A 21,062-nucleotide genomic window follows, 5' to 3' on the forward strand; every position below is an offset into this window, starting at 1 on the left:
ATGGAGCACTGCAGTAAACCCATCCAGTTCTTGGCCATGGCCTTGAACATTGTATTACTACTACTTTCATGTTGCTTTTTGTCAAACCCAAGATGACCTGAAGCAATGGACATCTTCCCTGTTGTGAAAATGAAAACAAATAAACAAATAAACAAAAACTTATCCAAAGAGTTACTTTTAGTAGCTTAGAATGGAAACTTTTATGAGAATCGATGAAATGGCTATTGAATCAACATCATGCCCTCAGTAACGCTAAACAAGCAGCTGCGAAGTCTTTGTCTTTGAATGATGATAGAACCAAAGAAGGTAATTGTATTTGGAGTTTTAACAGAAGCACAAAATGAGCCTAAAAGAGTTCTCCAGGGATGTTCTGTCATTATCTGAAGATATGAGCGGTATCTGTCTATAGATGAAATCAGCAACCACTGGAATGTCCACTCCCAGATGGGTGGGTTGCCACCTCACCTGAGGCCTGGAGACTGTTAGCCGCAGGGCCTGGACCAGGGCTTCTCCATACCCATTTGTCCACGCCCACCCACCAGTTCGGCTCTCCAGCTCCTTCCACCTCCAGATCCCATGGCTTGACTACTGTTGCTCAGGATACAAAGTGGAGATGGCTAAGGGGGCAGGAGGAACTATTCATAACAACCCTGGTGACTCTGAATCATCTCAGAAGAGCTCTGAGAATATCTATGCCAAGGAGAGGAGTGGTTTCAAAACCAAAGAAAGAAAGGACACCCTTTCTGGGCACCATGGGTGTTGTTTCATGACCTAAGTCTGAATGGAGTTATTGAGAGTGAACTGCATGTCAGTCTGCAGATCATTTTGGCTCTGAACATGACAACACCAAAGTCCTGCTTTAGGAGTTTCTATCCTTAGAAACACAGGACAGCATGGTTTCAGTCTAGGAAACACTTTCATTGTGTTTAATCCCTCCAAGGAGTGTCCCGTTCTATTTTTTCACGTGGCTAAAATACTTCCTCTTTCTCTTCCTTGCCTGTCATGTGGATGAGTGAAAATCAACAGGCTACAAGTATGGGAGTCCAAAAAATATGGCGCAACTGGAAAATATTTGACCCATGAAAACCTATGTTAAATGACAGGCCCTTTCAGTGTTGCAGCATCTTCTGCTGAGGTTTCAACTTTTCCCAGCATTTCTCAAGTGAGTTCTAACGATGTTAAAAAAAAAATCCCAGCAGAATAGCAGTGGTGCTAATAGAAAACCACTTTTCAAAGTAGTGCTGTGATAAATCTAATCTGCTCTCCATAAGAGAGATGATCATTAGTGATTAGATCAATCTGGTTATTACTGTTAGGCTATTTCTTAGGAGGAATTTAATATAGGATAAGGATAAAACTAAGTAAATTACTTAGTATATTTAACCCTAGGATTATGCCTAAATCCAAAAGAATGTGTTTTAATGGATACACACACACACACACACACACACACACACACACACTCACATAGGGGAGTGAGAAAGAAAACAACAGTTTATTAAGTTTCTAATATACAATACACACTGGGCTTGGCTTTTTATATAACTTATCTCATTTTAATCCTCACCAAAAAGTCATTGCCTAAATTATTTCAAATATTTCTCAGAAATAGTCCTTTTGTTTTAATATAACAGTAGTTTCAAATTATATTTACAGACAGAAAATTTGCAACAGAGTATGAAGTCAGAAACATTACTCAAAAAGTACCTCCTCTAAGGGTTTTAACGTTAGAGTTATTTGGTTCAAAACTGTGAGCTTTTAAATGCCCCTGAACTCTGTATCTCACTTGATGTGATGGAGGGAAGAGATACCACAGGTAGAAATGAAGAAGGAAGAAGGAGGAGAACCAGACTGAGTTTCAGAGGCAAACTCAGGGTCTTTCCATGCTGGAGGAAGGCCAGCATGCTCACTGTCTTGGCGTGGGATGGTGGCTGTGAGGCTAGCGGGTGACTTTAATTGTGAATAGCCCCGAGAATGTTGGCTGTGTCTTAGAGATCTGCAGTTACTGACCCTGGGGCCCTTTCTCTCGAGGACTAAACCTAGTACTTCATCAAGCCAGGCAGAAAAACTGAATGGGGCCTTTAGCCCTGAGAGGTACAACACTGGCCACGGCAGGAAGGTTATTTTCCCCATAGAGACTGCGAGCTGCATCCTTCTTCAACTCATCATGCAGGAAAATTCACTATAATTCATTCAGTTATAAACAGGTGAAACCAAAGAGCCATCAGCCAACCCAGAAGGATGTGCAGAATGAGGGAGATGCCGGGAGTCAGGCTAAGAAAACTCTGTTTTCTCTTGCAGTGTTCTCTGCCGGAGTGCTGTGATTGATCACATGAGCCGCATCGCCATGTATGAGCTATTGGCAGATGCAGACATTCAGCTCAAGGGACACATGGCCCGATTCCTTCTGGTATGCTTCTGTTTTGCCCATTGAATTTTAGAAGCATTTTGCTGATATCTATATTTTTTGAAGCTTATTAAAATTTTGGCTGGGGTTGTATTACTCCTATAATCTGTGAAGAATTGCCAGTTTAATGTTTATTCTTCCCATCTAGAACCTGACTTGCCTCTTCATTTGTTTGAGCATTTTTTGATATGGCCTAATAAAATTTAGTCATATTTAAGCACCTCTCACAAAATCCCGTTTCATTAGTTTTTATTCATTTCTACTATTATAAAGAAAATGTCTTCTGTTATTATATTTCCTAGTTTACCATTATTGCCAGAGTTTAGAAATCCCATTGCTTATTGTTTATTTTCTTTTCCATCTTACTATTTTATTATCTCTATTAGCTTCTTGGTAAATTTTATCAAAATTTTAAAGCTTATAATTACCTAGTTTAAAAAAAACTAAAAAACTATTTCAAAAAGAATATCATTCAGTTAATCAGATATATATATATATATATATATATGTTATTAAGAGTTAAAATATCAAGTGTGGCAGACTAAATAATCTTCATGCCCACCCTTGTAATGTCATGACTTGAACATTGAGTATTCTGATAAACAGAGCCAGTGGGATCTCACTAGAAAGGAGGTGGCCAGATTTACAATGAATATCACAGGGAATTTAAGATTCTCTAAGTGTGAAGCAACTTCCTGTTACTGCTGATACTACGCATGCATCACACCCTGGGAAATGCCAGGCCAGCCTGTACTAATGTGTTTTAAATATTTGTGCCTGATAGTATTAAAAACTTGGAGCCTGCTCTTAAGAAGTAGCTGGAATTCAGTTTTTAAAAAATTATAATTATAAAATTATGACTCCTTCTTAAAACATAACAATCTGAGGGAATCTAACCTCTTCATCTTTAGAAATTATAATGGAGCTGAATCTTCATCATTTAAGGGTAAGTTTTCCCTTTTTGAAGTAGTCAAATGCCATTCAGAGTCAAGGCTGGCTAGAACATAAGCTCTATGAAGGCAGGGGTGTTGTCCATCTTGGACTTGTAAGACCCCCTAGTCTCAGTGGTATTCACCAAAAATGTTTGTTGTTGTTACTGAATAGCTTTGCAATCAAGCTGGTAATACAGTTTTGATTTAAAATGAAGTATATTGATAAATTAATGACTAAGTTTTTTTGTGTGACTCAAAAACTAGCTCTGGAGACAGTTCCTTCAACAAAGGCCAAATTAGCCTGAGATGGGAGTCATTCTTTATTAAGAAGGGTTATTTCTAGCAGTGGCAGCCCTCACTTTGAAAAGCAGGCTCTCTGGCCCACACCACATCCCCTATCTTCCTCCCAACGGGCCTGAAAAGCCAGGATTGGCGCAAGACAAGACAGAAAAAAACAGGCACTGGAAGTCACTGAAAAGAGTAGTTTCTGAGCTTCCTTATGGCTTTGTTCTCAGTTCTATTTATGTGAGTATTTCAGCAGTAATTCAGTCAGTAATTCTATAAAACAATAAAAAGGATTTGTTGCACATAATGATGCCTGAGGACATGCCATCCTGCAATATTTACTACTTTAAAATAACGATTAGAATTATTATGGATAAATCCTTTACTTAATAGCTTTTTTAAAAGGGTGTTTTTGGCCATACCGTTTGTTTTGCTGGTAACTGCAATGTGCCTTTGTGCATTGTATTTGCTCACTAGCATCAAGTTTGTATCATACCTATTGAAGAATTCTCAGCTGAGTATGTGAGACCACAAGTCCACTGCATTGCCAGTTATGGGCGATTTGTCAATCAAAGGTAATGTGTTTCCTTCCTGTCTCCCCGTTCATGTTCTGAGTGATACTGGGATGAGTGTAAGGCTGAAACTTTATACTCAACGTCAGAAATGATCATAAGCCAAGGTGCTAAAGTCTGGTGGTGGATTTAAAACAGAAAGAAAAACCAGCTAAATAATTTACCCCAGCAGTTTTTCCAGAATTCCGTAATATCAGGAAGCTGACCCAGGAACAACCAGGGAAATGGTTAAGCCTACCCCTGGAGGGCAGGAACGCTGAGTTCTATTCTGAGCCCTCGAAAAGACTCGTTTTGTTCCAATCTTTTAATCTTTCTGTCTGAGACTCTTCATTTAGAAAACCATGAAAATAATGACCTATCTCATAACTATGTGATGAGAATCAGCTAACTAATGCTTATTGGGGTTTTGGTAGGGTTGTTTTGCTGTAGATTCAAAAACAGCTTATGGGCATGGTCATGAAATCTGGTGTGCATAGTTAGGACTGTAGGAACTACCAACACAATGTGATTCTGGTTGTGCGTAAAAGAGACGATGTATATTTTTTCTTTCTTATATAGTGTTCTGTCAATATTTATGTTTAGAGGTGAATAATGTTTTATTGTATTGATCTCATTTTAACAATTAATTTTAGTTTTGGAAAGGGAAGTTTCCATAAGTTTCTATCTAACTTACTTTACTTCAAAATTAAGATTCTCTCTGTTTCAACTAGTTCAATGGAACAGGTGGCTGGAATACACTTGGCATGAGTATCATTATATAAAGATCCCTAGAGTTCTGTGCTTCCCCCAGCACTGGATCCTTTTGATGCCCATGCAGTCCTATGCTCCAAGTCTGTCTCTTCACTGATGGTCAGTTCTGTAGCTTTGGGTTCTTTTAAAAATCAGATTTTTAAATATTCTATTTTTCAGTGCCACCTGTGTCTCCTTGGCCCATGAAACTCCTCCAACAGCATTAATTTTGGATGTTCTAAGTGGCAGGCCTTTCCCTCACCTGCCCCAGCAGTCGTCACCTTCTGTTGATGTTCTTCCTGGGGTCACCTTGAAGGCACCGCAGGTAGTGTGCTGTTTCTAAACCAGTGGTTCTCAAAGTATGACCTCTGAAGCAGCAGCATCCACATCACTTGGAAACTTGTCAGCAATGCAGATTCACAGACCCACTACAGACCTACTGAGTTGGAAGCTCTGGGGGTGGGCCCAGGAATCTGTGTTTTAACAAACCCTCCAGGTGATTCTGATGCCCCTGAAGTTTGAGAACCTCTACTGTCTTCTGTGAAGAGTCCCAGAAATGCAGGCATCTGGTTAATCCTGCCTAGGACCACCCCTGCCTGATGCCCTTTCCCTCCTGGGCTTTGTCCACTAGATATTTGGCAATTATTCATGGCCCATATTGTGATAGCTTATATTTTTGTGGACTGCTGCTGTTTAATATAGTTGTTTATTAGTTTTCTTCCCAAGTTGGATCATAAGACTTTTAGAATAGTTATTGTAGCCAAGAACCTTTCTTTCTTTTTTTTTTTTTTTTTTTGAGACAGATTCTTGCTCTATCACTCAAACTTGAGTGCAGTGGCATGATCATGGCTTACTGCAGCCTCCAACTCCTGGGCTCAGGCAATTCTCCCATCTCGGCCTCCCAAGTAGCTGGGACTAGAGGTGAGCACCACCTTGCCCAGCTAATTTTTTTTTTAAATTTCTGTAGAGGTGGGATCTTGCTATGTTGCCCAGGTTGGTCTCGAACCAGTAAACTTTTTTGTATCCCCCACTGCACCTTGCAGGTAGGAAATTATCCATAAACATTTATTAATCAATCATCTAGAGCACAAAGGTGAAATATAATAAAGTAATGCATTCCGTAAGCTAAAAAATCACAGGACTTTTAAAGTTCTGCATTATAAAAATATAATTTACATTATGATATTACAAGGTTTAGTATCCCTTATCCAAAATGCTTGTGATCAGAAATGTTTTGAATTTCAGATTTTGGAATATTTACATTATATTTATGGGTTGAGCATCCCTAATCTGAAAATCTGAAATCCAAAATGTTCCAGTGAGAATTTCCTTTGAACGTTATATCAGTGCTCAAAAAGTTTCAGATTTTGGAGCATTTTGGATTTTCAGTTTAGGGATGTCCAACCTGTATTATGTCCTTATAATCTCAAAGATGGTTTGCATGTGTTCACAGTGCATTGGATTTGGGAATCTACAGGATCTGAGCGACAGAATCAAATAAAATCCCATATGGGAAAGGCAGTCCAGAATAATAGGGGGAAATGAGTTGAAATCAAGATGACAAGAGTTCTAGTCCTGCTTTTGTCATGAAATTAGTGTGTCATTTTCCATGAACTATTTACCCCCCCGAGTCATGGGTCTCATCTGAAAAATGAGGATGAGCTTTAGTTGTTATTGTGTTGTTGCTGTTGAAGATTTTTGTGAGTTAAAAGATTCATTACTCAAAAAGTGAGGCTTTCTGGGGAGAGAGGGCTTGTACTCGAGCTTGAGCCAAAGGAGGGTGGGCTCCAGCTTTTAGCCCTCAAAAACACTCGTTTTCATGGTGGGAGTGGAGGGAGGGCCAGCCAGGGCCATCCAGGAGGACTCCCTCTCCCAGGGGCTGGAATTTATGTGATGAGAACTCCCCACTCATGACAAAGGAGGGAGCTGGGAGCCCCTGAGATGTCTTATCAGCTTGTTTGGGTGTGGGACAAAAGGGACAAGGGTATAATAGGGCTTGAAAGCTGTCAGTGGGCAAACATCAAAAATGGAGTCAGAGCTGGGCACAGTGGTTCACACTTGTGATCCCAGCACTTTGGGAGGCCAAGGCGGCAGTATTGCTTGAGACCGTGAGCTTAAGACCTGCCTGGAGAACATAGGAAGACCCTATCTCTACAAAAATTTAATAATTACCCAGGCATGATGGCACGTACTTGTAGTCGTAGCTACTTGGGAGGCTGAAGTGGGAGGATCGTTTAAGCCCAGGAGTTTGAGGCTGTAGTGAGCTATGGTTGCCCCACTGCCCTCCAGCCTGGGTGACAGAGTGAGACCTCGTCCCTTAAAAAAAAAATGGAGTCAGACTCTTTATTGCATGGTTATTATGCATAGCACAGTTATGAACATATAAGTATGGCCTTCTTGCAAACATTACACATTTCTTCTGGATATGTACCCAGAAGGCCAATTCTGGGTTATGTGTTCAACTTTGGTAAATATTGCCAAACAGGTTTCCAACCTGACTTACCAAATTATACCCCCTCCAACATGTATGATTGTACCACAGTTTGTTTATCCAATCTGCAACCAAGAGACATTTGGTTTGTTTTCAGTTTTTGTGATAACAACAACAACAAAAAAGCTACTGTAAATGTATGTGTGAAGGCTTCTGGGTGAAGATGGGTTGTCATTTCACTTTGGTAAATACTTAGGTTGTTTTGTTTTTTAACCTTTGAATACTCTATGATTCCAGTTATTCATAGCTCTTCAGCTTGAGGGTTTTTAATTTTTTTTCCTCCTCTTTTTTCCTCTTAGAATCAAGTGACCCTGAGAGGACGTGTACCACACCTGGGCCGATACGTCTTTGTCATCCATTTTTACCAAGCAGCGCACCCGACGTTTCCCGCGCAGGTGTCGGTGGATGGCGGGTGGCCACGGGCAGGTGAGCTGCAGTGAGCAGGCCCTGCTGCCTGCCTCAGGCTGAATCTACAGTCCGGTGCATGACAGAAAGTCTCTCTCTCTCTCTGCCAGGCTCCTTCCATGCCTCTTTTTGCCCCCATGTGCTTGGCTGCCGGGATCAAGTGATTGCCGAAGGCCAGATTGAGTTTGACATCTCAGAGCCTGAAGTGGCCGCAACTGTGAAGGTTCCAGAAGGAAAGTCCTTGGTTTTGGTGCGTTCCACTCGTTCCTCAACTTGCTCCTCACATGCCTGCCTGGCTGGCCATTCTGGGTGTCTGTTTAGCTCATGGAAATAATTCTTCCAAGGAATTGAAGTCATATTTGTAGAAAAATGTTTAAATTTTACAGCTGTCTTTTACCCCCCAATAAATAAATAAATAAAGCATGTGACAATTAAAGTCAAGGGAACTAGGACAGAAGAGAGTAGGCGTCGCCCCTCTCCACCAGCCCCTGCTTCCTCATCTGACCAGTCTCTGGAGCATTTTTCGCTCCTTTCTTCTTTTGGCCCCTGCAGCTGCTTTCTCTCTGTTTTCCCTGCTTTCTCTAGCGCTCCTTGGGTGATTTCTCTTTTCCACTTGTCACTGTGTGTTGGCGTTCCTTCCGATTTGACACCGAGCCCCTCATTGTGTCATTTCTCCTTGGATACATCTTCCGTGCCCATCGATTCTATTCTCTCCACTGTGGGAAGGACACCCACATCTGTGAGGTCATCTCTGATCTTTCCTGAACTCCAGTATGTGACCACCATCTCCTGCGTATCTGCCTGGCCAGAGATCTTGAAAGTCCCTTGCTTAGTCTGCACCCTGCATAGCCCCGATGTGCCTACCCTTTTCATCACCTTGAGTGATGACAACCAGTGCCTGGAGTCATGCTGACCCCCCTTCTCTAGCAGCTCTGCTCCCACATCTGTTACCACACCCCAGAGTCTTTCTCTGCCGTGCCTCCTGGAGGCAACCATTCTCTTCTAGCCCCGTTGTCCTCACTGACCATCCTTCCTCTCACTTGGGCAGGGCCAGCCTCCTGGCAGCACTCCCTTCCTGTTCCACCTCCTTCCAGTGCCTCCTCCGCACTCCTGGCCATTACCTACCTGGCTGGAGGGATTAGAGCATGCCCTGTGACCCAGCCACTTCTCTGGGCTTCCAACAACTGATGGGATACACTCCATGTATTTCCCTAGGATCCACGTGCCTCACTCAGGCCCTCACGACCCCCTAATTCATCTTTTATCTTTCTCTCTGCCATTGCCCTACTCCACGCCTCCCACACCTCACGCTCTGGCCATACAAATCCGTTCTCAAACCCCCAGATATGCCATGTCCTCTCATGCCACCAGGCTTTCTCACACTGTCCCTTTTTCTGACATTTTCTGTCTGTTTCTCTACCTGGATAAGTCCAGCCTACCCACTCACCCAGCTCAGAGTTAATTTGTCTTTCTGCAAAGCCCTCCAGGAAGCATTGCCCAGACTCTCTGTGTGGCCCTCCAGGTCTCTGAGTGAGCCTCCTCCTCTCTGAGGAAGTCGTCTTCCCAGGAGACAAGGGCTGCATCTGTTCATTTTGCATCCCTTGTGCCTGGAATACCACCTGGTGTGTGGTGCTCAGCAAACGTTTATTGAATTGAATATCATGAGAGTAATAAGCTCCCTGTAAGCTGTGAGCTGGTGAGCAGTTGACAAAGATGTTTGAAAATTTCTACAGTGTTTGCTATAGGCATATTCTGATTTATACTGGCACAGAGAACCAAACTACCATTATTCATAATAGGGTACCAAGTATGATGAAAGCTCTAAGGACAAGCTAACACCTTCTTTCTGCATTGTTCTTGCCACTTTTGTTTGTTTCCCTTTAAAAATACAAAACAGCCATCCCTGGAGATCCAGGGAGACATCAGGCATGGGTCACATGGAGCCCTGGCCATCCAGCAGGCCCCTGCTTACCCTTAAGGTCCCGTGACCCAGCCAGCATGCAAGGCTTTTGCTTCTCTGAGTAGAAGTTCCAAGGGCTCTGCCTGGGAACTCATCATTCCCTGCACAGTAATGTGGACTGAGCCTTTACTCCTGGCTTTGGCCTGTTCCTGTGATTGTTTTTCATAAATCCTGATTCATTTGGTCTTGGTCTTAACAATAAGGGTGTTGATCTCAGTGAAGAGAAAGTACAGGTTGAAAATCTCTTATCTGAAATGATTGGGACCAGCAGTGTTTTGGATTTCAGATTTTTTTCAGATTTTGGAATATTTGCATAATACTTACAGATTGAGCATCCCTAATTCAAAAATCCCAAATCCAAAATGCTCCAGTGAGCATTTCTTTTGAGCATGATCTTTGAGCATCATGTCAGTGCTCAAAAAGTTTCAGATTTTGAAGCATTTCAGATTTTGGATTTTTCGAGTAGGGGTGCTCAACCTGTATAATAAGTAGCCTTAGGTCTGTGTCATCATTGGAAATTCTAAGACATGCTGGTGGATTTCTTTCAGGTCCGTGTTCTAGTGGTGCCTGCAGAAAACTATGACTACCAAATACTTCACAAAAAATCCATGGACAAGTCACTCGAGTTTATCACCAATTGTGGAAAAAACAGCTTTTACCTTGAGTGAGTATCACTTTGTGGGAAGGCTCTGGAATGCAGAGGCACTCCCACATTCCTGACCAGCTCGAGGCCCAGGGAGGGGCTGGCCCATGGATCCGTCCTCTTCCCCGCACTGCCCAAGAGAGTGTCAGTGAGTCCCAGGGGAAGATGCTCTTTCTCCACACCAACCCTCGCATGACAGACTTTGCCATGTGCTGCCTGGGAAAGATGACTGTCCTCAGCTATGAACTCAACGGGGGTCCGTACCCCAAGCTGAGATTCAGGGGCTGATTAGGAGTTTCCTTCCCTCTCCACTGTTTCCTGTGTGCCAGCACAGATTCCTAAGACATACCACACAGGGTACCCTCCACTGGGAAGGACATCAGCCCTGAGTCCCACTCTCCTCCGCCATCTAACCAAGCAGGGAGTGTCCAGAGACATGGCTTCCCTGCCCTCTCTCCTTGTGTCCTTGAATGCTAAGAGCTAGGATGGCCCTGAGTATCAGCTCCTGCCATTCTCTTCTGTGGACCCACCCTTTCCCTGTCATAGATTCCTGAAGAGCCCAGGTACTCCAGAAGCTCTGGGAGGCAGACACCTCCTGTACAGTGAATATTAAGAGCAAAGGCTCTTAAGCAGCTGTGGAGGTGAATGCTGCTCAGCCACTCCATAACCTTGCAGCCTTGGGAATGTCACCTAACTTCTAGGAGCCTCAGTTGCCTTATCTGTGAATTAGGGCTTAGGCCTAATTGGTTGGGAGGTTGGAAGGTCATGTGGGATATTACTAAGGTTTCCAGCACACAACATTCAATGAATGATAGCGATTCTCCTCCTCATTATCATTTTATTAGTTGTATTATTATACACATAGGTCGACTTTTTTGGTAACCACTTTATTGAGCTATAATTCACATAACATATAGTTCATCTTTTAGGTCTATTTCTACTCTTTTATCCCAGCTGTGCAAGGTTCCCGCTGACCTGTTCTGTGATGTCTCCTCCTGTGGCAGGTGGTAGGGGGAGGGTGTGGCTGTCACCGGCTGAGTCTGAGGTGGGGTATTTCCCACTCTTCCCTGACTCCAGAACCATGAGCCCGTCCCACAGATGCTGCTGGGTGGAGCAGGTGGTAAAGGCAAGGTTGAGGCCACTCCCATACACACCTCCCCAGGCATCACCATGAGTTGTTTCTGTCTCCACAGCCCCCAGACAGCCTCCAGATTCTGTAAGAATTCCGCCAGGTCCCTGGTGGCCTTTTACCACAAGGGCGCCCTGCCTTGTGAGTGCCACCCCACTGGGGCCACCGGCCCTCACTGCAGCCCTGAGGGTGGGCAGTGCCCATGCCAGCCCAACGTCATCGGGCGGCAGTGCACCCGCTGTGCAACAGGCCACTACGGATTCCCACGCTGCAAGCGTAAGTGCACGTTTCCCATCACCCAAGTTCTGCTCTGGTCCCGTGTGGATGATGCTTACCAGGAGCAGGCTTCTTCAGTGGCACTGTGCTAGAGACTCACCTGGAGATCTGGAGAAATGCAGATTCTGATTCAGGAGACTGGGCTGGAGCCTGAGTCTCTACATTTCCAATAAGCACCCAGGTGATGCCCATGCTGCTGGTCCATGGACCGCACTCTAAGTAGCAATGTTCTAGAAGATAAGTATTTGTGACTCCCCTGCTGTGTGGCCTATGCACTTGGCAAAGCAGGTGAGTGTGACAAGTCTTAAACCTCAGAATCTTGGAGAGCTTGATCCCCTTCGTCACAGAAGCCCCTTCCATTTTTTTGGCCCAACCCAAACTCAGTTGAGATAGGACAGCCAGGGTCATGTGGCAGTGCTACTCACTGAATGAGAACCCATGGGACCTTTATCTCAGAACCATCTTGTGGTCCGAGGGGTAGGGTAAGCTCACTTCACGTGACTGCAGTGAGAAATGCAGTGTGCAGAGTCCCCATGCAGAGGCCAAGGAACAAGAACCCTGCTGCCAGGTTGTGCCCTGACCCTGGGCTCTGGACGCACAGGGTACTGGGGTGATGTGGATGTGGAGCCACTTCAGGGAGCCTGAGAGCAGCCTCCTACCAATTTCCAGAATCCTTCAATGGTCCAGAGGCCCCATATGAGTGGCACACAGTGGCAGCGAGGTGGGCTCCTTGGAGGGTCTTTCTTGGATCTGGCTGGCTCCTCAATCCCCATCCACACTGTCTGCCATGAGCATTTGGTGTGGTTGGTCTTGACTCCAAGAAATGGGCCTTTCAGATCCAAATATTTCTCTCTGACCCTTTGGAGGCTTCTGGAAAGCCTGGCAGTTGGTGGAGTGCTGCTGGAGCCCAGGCGGCCTTTGACCCTCACATGGTATTTCTTTATCCCCTGGCCAGCGTGCAGCTGTGGTCGGCGCCTTTGTGAAGAGATGACGGGGCAGTGCCGCTGCCCTCCCCGCACGGTCAGGCCCCAGTGTGAGGTGTGTGAGACACACTCATTCAGCTTCCACCCCATGGCCGGCTGCGAAGGCTGCAACTGTTCCAGGAGGGGCACCATCGAGGCTGCCATGCCGGAGTGTGACCGGGACAGCGGGCAGTGCAGGTGAGCTGGGGGAGTAGCCTGTCTGCTTCTGTCACAGGGAGGTCGCGTGCCATCTGCCCACACACTGGTCATCGTCACTTTCCACTTCCCACCTGTCCAGGGGTGCCCTGTGTTGACCTCGGCATGAGCTTCCCAGACAGGATGGGTTGCAGTGGGTGGAGTGATTGGTCCCTTAGGCTCAGAACTGGGCAGAGCCTGTGTGGACAGATTACCAGTCATCTTGGGCCGGCAGCAGCCTTGCCCATTGACTCCAGCATGCTGTCACTATGGGACTGTGTTCTGTGTGTGCCATGAGGCAGAAGTGGGAGAAGAATGATACATGCATAATGAAGGTATCTGTGTGCTTTGCTGGGATGCCTTGTGGTGAGCACCTGTCCATTTGTATTTAGGTATGAGCTTCATACCCTCCTTCTAGGGTTCGCTGGCAGTGTGGTTAAGGTCAATGTGTGACAGAGTCTGAAATCCCACCTAGCTGATTTGGGCTGGAAGGGGAGCTGAGGCCTCCACAGCAGGGCTTGGTGGGAGTGAGGAGGGAGTCAGGGTGAACAGGAGACAGGCTGGAGAGCCTGGCCTGAGAGTGGGGCTGCCCTCAGAGGATCGCTGAGCAGTCCAGTACTTAATTGCTAAGGGACAGGTGGAGACCTCGGCTCATGCAGATGCTGCATTGCTGAGAGGTTTGATTCAGAGGCTGCATTGGAATGTGGAGGCCGGTGTCACATGGTTCCAGGTGACAAGCCTGATCTCAGCAGGACTGGGTGGGGGCTGCAGGGGCCAGAGAAAGCGTATGGCTCCTAGAAGGAGAGACTGGTAAGAATTAGATCAGTGGTGATATGCTGGGGAAACTGAGTCAGAGGCCAGGCCAGGATGGCAGCGTGCAGGGGAAAGCAGAAGTTTCACCATGCACCCCACTCCCTTCAGCACGCACCCCAGGCACATGGATATTATGGAGTCCGTAATTTGGGTGTGAGAGCCAAGAGGGCCTATGGCTGCTGGGGACAGGCCTCAGTGACTCCCACTTGAGGGTGGCTGTGGTAGTCTCCCATGACTGCCATTAACGAATGCCACAAACAACGCTAAAATAACAGAAATTTATTCTTACACATTTCTGGAGCCTGGAAATTAAAAATCAAGATGTCGGCAGGGTTGGTTTCTTCCGGAGGGTCTGCAAGAGAACCTGTTCCATGCCTTTCTCTTCGCTTCTGGTGTGCAGGTATTCCTGGGGGAGTCCCTGGGCTGTTGGCTGCATCACTGCAACCTCTGCCTCCGCCATTACATGCTGTTCTCCCTGTGTGTCTCTGTCTTCCTGTGGCGTTTCCCTCTCTGTACGTGTCTCTGTCTCTTCTCATTTTCTTATAAGGACACCAGTCATACTGGCTTAAGGCCCACCGTACTCTGGTATAACCTCATCTTAACTTAATTACATCTCTAAAGACCCTGTTTCCAAATAAGGTCACATTCTCAGGTAGTGGGGGGTAGAACTTGGACAGATCTTTTGTGGGGATACAATTCAACTCTCTATAGCAGCAATGTTTGCTTTTCTAAGAAAGGCCCCTTAACCACACCTTTAATTGTTATCTGGTGCCTCCCAACTCCTTGATAATACTGGAACCTTGTAAGGAAGCTGGGAGAAAAACTCAAATCATGAAATATTCCAAGTCTTTAAAACCACAGGTGTGAGTCCTGCCTGAGTCAGCTCAGTCACTCAAGAACCAGAGGGGATACCTGTGTTTAATCACAGGAAGCAAAGGAACCAAGGGGGAGATGGAGAATCAGTTTTCAGGCAGGAAGAGAAGCAGTAGAGTTTTCAAAGGGAGTGGTTTGTCAACAATAAATCGCTGCAAATGGAACTTCACACACAATTTCTCAATGCTGCTGTCACAGAAAAAGAAAACCAAGAGTGCTTTTAAAAATGTTTTAATCTTGTTAAGGCACCAGAAGGTGATGGATGGATTTACTGCAGTATTTTATGTAAAAATCCCTAAGAATTTTATTTTTAACAAACTGTCACTGCCAATGATAATTTAATAGACTGGAATATTCCTAACTCAGGATGGAGGCATGTCTATAGTAAGTTTTGCCCAAACCTGACAGCATCAACAGAAATGGAATCTTGCTGACTTGTATTACACTTAAACCAAGATGTAAAACTGTTTACTTTGACCTTAGGAAAGGGACTATAATAATCTAATGGGATAACGCATCTTCCCATGATCAAAGTAGATTTGTCATAAAAGGGCCTTGTCAGAAAATGTAAGAAAATTTACATTACTGTAAATTGCACAAATTGCCCATGATAATTTCAGTGTAAATGCTGAAAAAGCTTTTGATTGCCTGAAGGGATTACTTCTTTATAAATATTAGAGGAAAAACTATTTTTTTCCTCCTTAGAAAATTTCCTTTATGAAGAATATGTTTAGAGGAGTCTAAAGCTCATGTAAAAGAAATAATCAGAGATACCTAGAGTTTATGAGAAAAAGGAAAACACATTCTTTCACAGTCTTGTCCTGCAGTTGTACAAATCATCACAAACTGCAAAGCTGAAAAATTGCAATTCTCAAATTGTATTTAACTACTTATAAGCATTCAACTTTATCATACTATAAGAAAATCAAACTGTTACAAATATTCATCTACTTTAAAATGAATTACAAAAATAATTTTAGCAATCTACAATACTCACTCTTTACTTAGTCAACCTGGTGTTGTAGTTTTAGAGGCAATAAGTTGGAACCATAAAACTGAGCCTTCGACTCACCTTTGGCAAGTCCTAGCTATGAGACTGGGCAAGTCATTTTGTCTGCCTGGCTTTCAGCTTCTTACTCTGTAAAATGAAGTTTAGTAAAATCATCTCTAACTTCCTATCTAAATTTAAAATTCTGATTCCATTTCTTTTTCAATCTCTGATTGTATCACGGACTATATTGTGTAATTATCGAAAGGTCTATTATTCTGGCCAATTCTATCAAGATCAAAAAGATGCTTATATTGATCAAAACTTCATTTTTTTTAGCACAACAAGACAGCACATATATCTATTTATAGCGATGAAAAAGTAAATTTGCATCTGCTCCTAGTAATGGAAGATATGTGCCATCAGATTCTCTGAACATACAAAAGGGCTAGAATATTTTTGGAAGACTTTATCCATCTGTGTCAGACGTGAGGAAGCTGGAGATCCCTGGTAGTAAAAGCTGCAGTACTGTTGACCGCGTCCAAGCTATTTTCAGATTGATCAAAGGAGATGGCAGTCCACCTGGACATCCAGTGAAGCCACGTGTACCTCATGCCTTTTCAGAAGGGTAGTAGCCACAGGAAAGATTTGGGGATTCCCTCTATCTCCACTCAGATTTACTAAGCCTTTGTGTTAAATGGAGAAATTAAAAACCAGAAAAGGTCATCGACTTGGTGTTCTCAGAACAGAAGGGCTTCCAGCTAGGCATCAATTCCTGAGCCCTAACAACTTGGAGAGGCAATTTCTTTGATGCACTTCATCAAATAATCTGTGAGGCTGGCCAGGCAGTGTGCAGGCGCTGGGATGTGCTGTTGACACAGTGGTGACGGCTGTAACAGCCACACAGAAGGAGCTCAGGGTTCTCACCTGCACGACCTCTGTCGTCCTTCGTCTCCTGTAATACTGGCATCTTCTTCTAACCTCTCTGATGATGCTTCTCTGGCCATTTCACTGGCTTCATTTTTCTCCTTCTGCCTCCAGACCAAGAAGATGTGTGGTGTGAGTTGCGTCCTGTCTCTGCCGCTCACTCTCTGGGTGACCTCAGGTATATTACTTCTGTCCTCTGGGCCTTAGGTCTTCATCTGTAAAATAAGGATCCTGGAGGCACCTTTAGAGGGTTAAATATCCTCTGTGAACACACTGAAAGCAGCGCCTGATACACTCTGAGCACCCAGTAAGTATTAGCTGTTGTGGTTATTTGCCAAGGTCATGGCTGTCTGCCTTCCTCCCTCTATGGTTTGTCCCTGAGACTCCACCCATTCTCCTGGCTTCAGCCACCCTCACTCCTGGATGATTCCCAGATCCACAGCTCCAGTCCTGATCCTTGAGGGCTATCCTATTCCACCTTTATTGCAAATCGACTCAACCTGGGTTCTCTTATTGACTTTACACAGGTAGCCTTGGACAAGTTCCCTAAGCTCTTTGAGCTCCTGTCTCCTCACATGTATTATGAAAAGTTAGATTGGATAATCGTTAACTCCTGAATTCTACAATACTGATCCTATCTCTGAAACCCATGTCACTGTCTTCCCTTTCAAGCCATTTCTCCCTTTGGGTTAAAAAAAAAAAATTCTACTTAATGATAACAGCCTCTTTCCAGTCCTTTAAGCCTGAAATCTGAGTATCATCTTAGAATCAACCCATTTTCCCTACAGCCAGTCAGGTGTCAACTTCTGGCAAGGGACATATTATCCCCCTTCCTTTCCATGGCTGTCTACAGCCTGGTTAAGTCCTTTTACCACTTCATGTTCAGATGATATTGATGCTTTCCTAGTTGGCCTTCCTTTTCCTGGTTTACTCATTCATTCTTTCTTTTTTGGCTCTTTAAGAAGAATATACTAAATTGACAATTATACTGGGATTCAAATATCTGTCTTTCCCTTAACTTTATTCACAAATACATGGTACTATTAGTCTGTGAACTTGAGACAATGTTGATAAATGCATACATGTTTATGATTTTATCTTCTTTTTGTTTTATGGCAGCCTGCCCTTAAATGTGATTTTATCTTCTTGGCATGTATTTCTGTTTGTTTTTGTTATTTTAATGAGGATGAAACATCTCAGTTCCTTGTGAGGTTTTTTAGCTTTCCCTTAAGTGTTATTTTGTATGTGTTTTGTTGCTCAAAGTGCATCTAATACCTACTCCAGTTTGGGTGCTGTGCTTCCTGTGGAAGGCACACATGTTTGTGATCTGGTGGGGGCACCTGTTCTAACCAAGAGTGACAGTGCAGCATGGTGAGCGCCATATTGTGTGTGGGCTGTTATGGGAACACCATTTCCATGACATCACATTCTTTGCTCAAGAACTTTCCTTAATTCCCCATTGTCTAATAGGATAAAGACCAACTTTCCGTGATTTGACTTCTATCTACCCTAACTTTTAGTACCTTTTTGTTTTTTCTGCTTTCTTCTCTGGCTTGGTTTTCTCACTTCCTCTAAACACTTTTTGTCTGTGTTCTGTTCTCCAGTTGTGAAAGGGCTCCCTCCTCCTCTCCTACTACCCCCAAATTATGCCTGTCCTTCAAGGATTTTTGTGTTAAAAGTACAGACTCAAAGAATGCAAGGAGCCTTCTACGAGTCCACAGAGATCGCCTCATCATCTCATTGGCCAAAGCAAGTTGACTGCTTAGCCAGCTTCTCCCTTAATTTCCACATTCTAGGTCCTGTGTCCGCAGTGAAACATGTCCACATCAAGACTGACTTATTCTACTTTGTCCCCTCCCTCCCATGTCCCCTAACAAAGGAATGTGTATGTAGAAGGCACTCAATAATTCTTGAGTGAAAAAATAAATAAATAAATAAGGTAGATTTTGGGCTCTAGGTTAAAACTGGACTTTGATATGAGCATAATATGAAGGGCCCTACAGTGTTTATTAATTTATTCATTTGAGATGGAGTTTCACTCTTGTTGCCCAGGCTGGAGTGCAGTGGCGTGATCTCGGCTCACCGCAACCTCTGCCTCCAGGGTTCAAGCGACTCTCCTGCCTCAGCCTGCCGAGTAGCTGGGATTACAGGCATGCACCACCACACCCGGCTAATTTTGTATTTTTAGTAGAGATGGGGTTTCTCCATGTTGGTCAGGCTGTTCTCGAACTCCCGACCTCAGGTGATCCACTGCCTCAGCCTCCCAAAGTGCTGGAATTACAGGCATGAGCCACTGCACCCGGCCCCTTAATGACCAAAGGATGCAGCTCACCCCAACACATCTGGGCCTGATTCTCTGAGACATGGCAAGCACCCACCCATGCCCAGATGTTGTTACAAAACGTTTGGCCAGGAGCCCCATTGCCATGGAGATAAATTCTCTTGACCTGCCTCCCCAGAATTGCCATTCTGCAGCTACTCCTTGGGTACCAGAAATTCTGGTAGGGCTGTTCCTTGGGTACCATAAATTCGCTGTAGAGAAACATACCAAGTCAGGCCGACATGAGGTCATTTTAAAGGATGTTCAGCCAGACTTTGAAGAGGAAATGTCCTCTTCCTTCCCTATTGTCATGGCACCACCAAAAACTTCCCTATTGTCCTGGCAACACCAAAAACTGTCTTTGCACAGGATGCATAACTCAATTATCTAAACATTGCAGTACTCAAGAATATAGATATTGTTTTGGTTCACCCTGGCCTAGCAGGCCCAGCGGGGCCACTCAGGGTCCCATTTGCAGGCCGCTGCTCTCCTCCCTCTGCTCTGTTGGCTTTTTTCCCATCTGCTTTAGTGCTCTCAGCTGCTACCCATGTGCTGTGTGAGGCTCAGAGCTTGGTCCTATATTACTGACTGGCCACATCTTCTCAGTCACTCTCTTTCCACTGGATCATCTCGCATACATTCTAAAATAAACACACAGGCCAGTCATGATTTTGCTTCCCTTCCTCCTTGTCTGGACAAGCAGCTTCCACAGCTGCCCTTGCTGCAGGTACTCTTGTTCCTTTCCTTTCCAGTGAAGTGAAAATACAAAACGTGGCCAGGTGCGGTGGCTCACGCCTGTAATCCCAGCACTTTGGGAGGCCAAGTTGGGTGGATAACGAGGTCAGGAGATCGAGACCATCCTGGCTAACATGGTGAAACCCCATCTGTACTAAAAATACAAAAAATTAGCTGGGCATGGTGGCGGGCACCTGTAGTCCCAGCTACTTGGGAGGCTGAGGCAGGAGAATGGCGTGAACCCGGGAGGCGGAGCTTGCAGTGAGCCGAGATTGCGCCACTGCACTCCAGCCTGGGTGACAGAGCGAGACTCTGTCTCAAAAAAATAAATAAATAAAAATAAATAAAAAAAGAAAAGAAAACATAAAATGCAGGCTCCAGGGCCGGATGTGGTGGCTTACGCCTGTAATCCCTGCACTTTGGGAGGCCAAGGAGGCGGATCACGAGGTCTGGAGATCGAGACCATCCTGGCTAACACGATGAAACCTCGACTCTCCTAAAAAAATACAAAAAATTAGCTGGGCATGGTGGTAGGCGCCTGTAGTCCCAGCTACTCGGGAGGCTGAGGCAGGAGAATGGCATGAACCCAGGAGGCAGAGCTTGCAGTGAGCCGAGATCGCGCCACTGCACTCCAGCCTGGTGACAGAGCGAGACTCCGTCTCAAAAATAAATAAATAAAAAATAAAAAAATTTAAAAAAATAAACCACACACACAAAAAAACCACAGGCTCCTGTCTGCGTGACCTCACTTTCCAGGTCCCTGCCCAGATCACTTGCTCAGGGGACACTCTGAGTTGTGCCCACCAATGGCGTTCAGTGTGTGAGTTGCTCACCTACCACCAGCATCTTATTAATTCACCCTTGGCCAGAAGCCCCGCATGTTTGCTAAAAGAAACGTTCAGACCTTGGGATGCCAGTCTGCCAGGTTGGCACTTCATGGCAACACTGTCCCTCTGTGCGTGGTGTTCTTTCCTTCACTGCCAGGAAAAGAGAAGCAAGGTTCACCCAGCCTACGTCGGGCCATCTCCAATGGCCCTCTTCTGTTCTGAGGCTTCTCTCTCTGATGGCTTTTATTTTGGGAGGGGTCATCTGCTCTCTCTTCTTTCCGGTCTCTAGACCACCAGAGTCCTTGTGCTCCACACTCGCTGTCTCTCCAGAAATAAGGAATCAGCTGAGAACAGGCTTTACATTTTTGCCAGACTGCCTGATTACATTTAGTCCGAGGGTCACAAGAAGAGAGCAGTTGTTATTAACCTGGGGCCAGGAGCCCTCTGATAAGAGAATGCAAAATTGTGTGTATATGAGAATGAGTCTTTCTGTGAGTTTAGTGGACACTTTTCTGAGAATATGGCCCATAGTTTACCCAGCTTTCCAAAAGCGTCTCCGATCCTCTCCCAGAGTTTACAATCCACTGCACTAG

The 21,062-nt window shown here is 44.8% G+C and overlaps 1 protein-coding gene across 13 annotated transcripts in view, besides 1 other annotated feature; it reads left to right on the forward strand.

Annotated features, from left to right (window-relative positions):
- LAMA3 (laminin subunit alpha 3) overlaps positions 1-21,062 on the forward strand; it is a 265,614-nt gene that overhangs the window by 145,227 nt on the left and 99,325 nt on the right. For 12 of the 13 annotated variants that reach the window (XM_011525978.3, XM_011525982.3, XM_011525980.3 and 9 more), the window contains 8 exons: positions 2,302-2,410; positions 4,102-4,199; positions 5,106-5,250; positions 7,716-7,842; positions 7,932-8,071; positions 10,330-10,445; positions 11,618-11,829; positions 12,785-12,989. In XM_011525978.3, the coding sequence (XP_011524280.1) occupies positions 2,302-2,410; positions 4,102-4,199; positions 5,106-5,250; positions 7,716-7,842; positions 7,932-8,071; positions 10,330-10,445; positions 11,618-11,829; positions 12,785-12,989 (1,152 nt within the window). Of the gene's footprint in view, positions 1-2,301; positions 2,411-4,101; positions 4,200-5,105; positions 5,251-7,715; positions 7,843-7,931; positions 8,072-10,329; positions 10,446-11,617; positions 11,830-12,784; positions 12,990-16,747; positions 16,895-21,062 lie in introns of those variants that run through there. The other variant, XM_017025744.2, reaches the window with a different exon arrangement.
- Positions 12,473-13,318: an enhancer, noted in NCBI's record as "H3K27ac-H3K4me1 hESC enhancer chr18:21427116-21427961 (GRCh37/hg19 assembly coordinates)". NCBI's record gives its function as "activates a minimal SCP1, AML or CMV promoter by ChIP-STARR-seq in primed H9 embryonic stem cells {active_cell/tissue: H9 hESC(primed)}" and the evidence as "EXISTENCE:reporter gene assay evidence [ECO:0000049][PMID:30033119]".

Source organism: Homo sapiens, chromosome 18 (genome assembly GCF_000001405.40).
Source record: "Homo sapiens chromosome 18, GRCh38.p14 Primary Assembly".
Taxonomy (NCBI): Eukaryota; Metazoa; Chordata; class Mammalia; order Primates; family Hominidae; genus Homo; species Homo sapiens.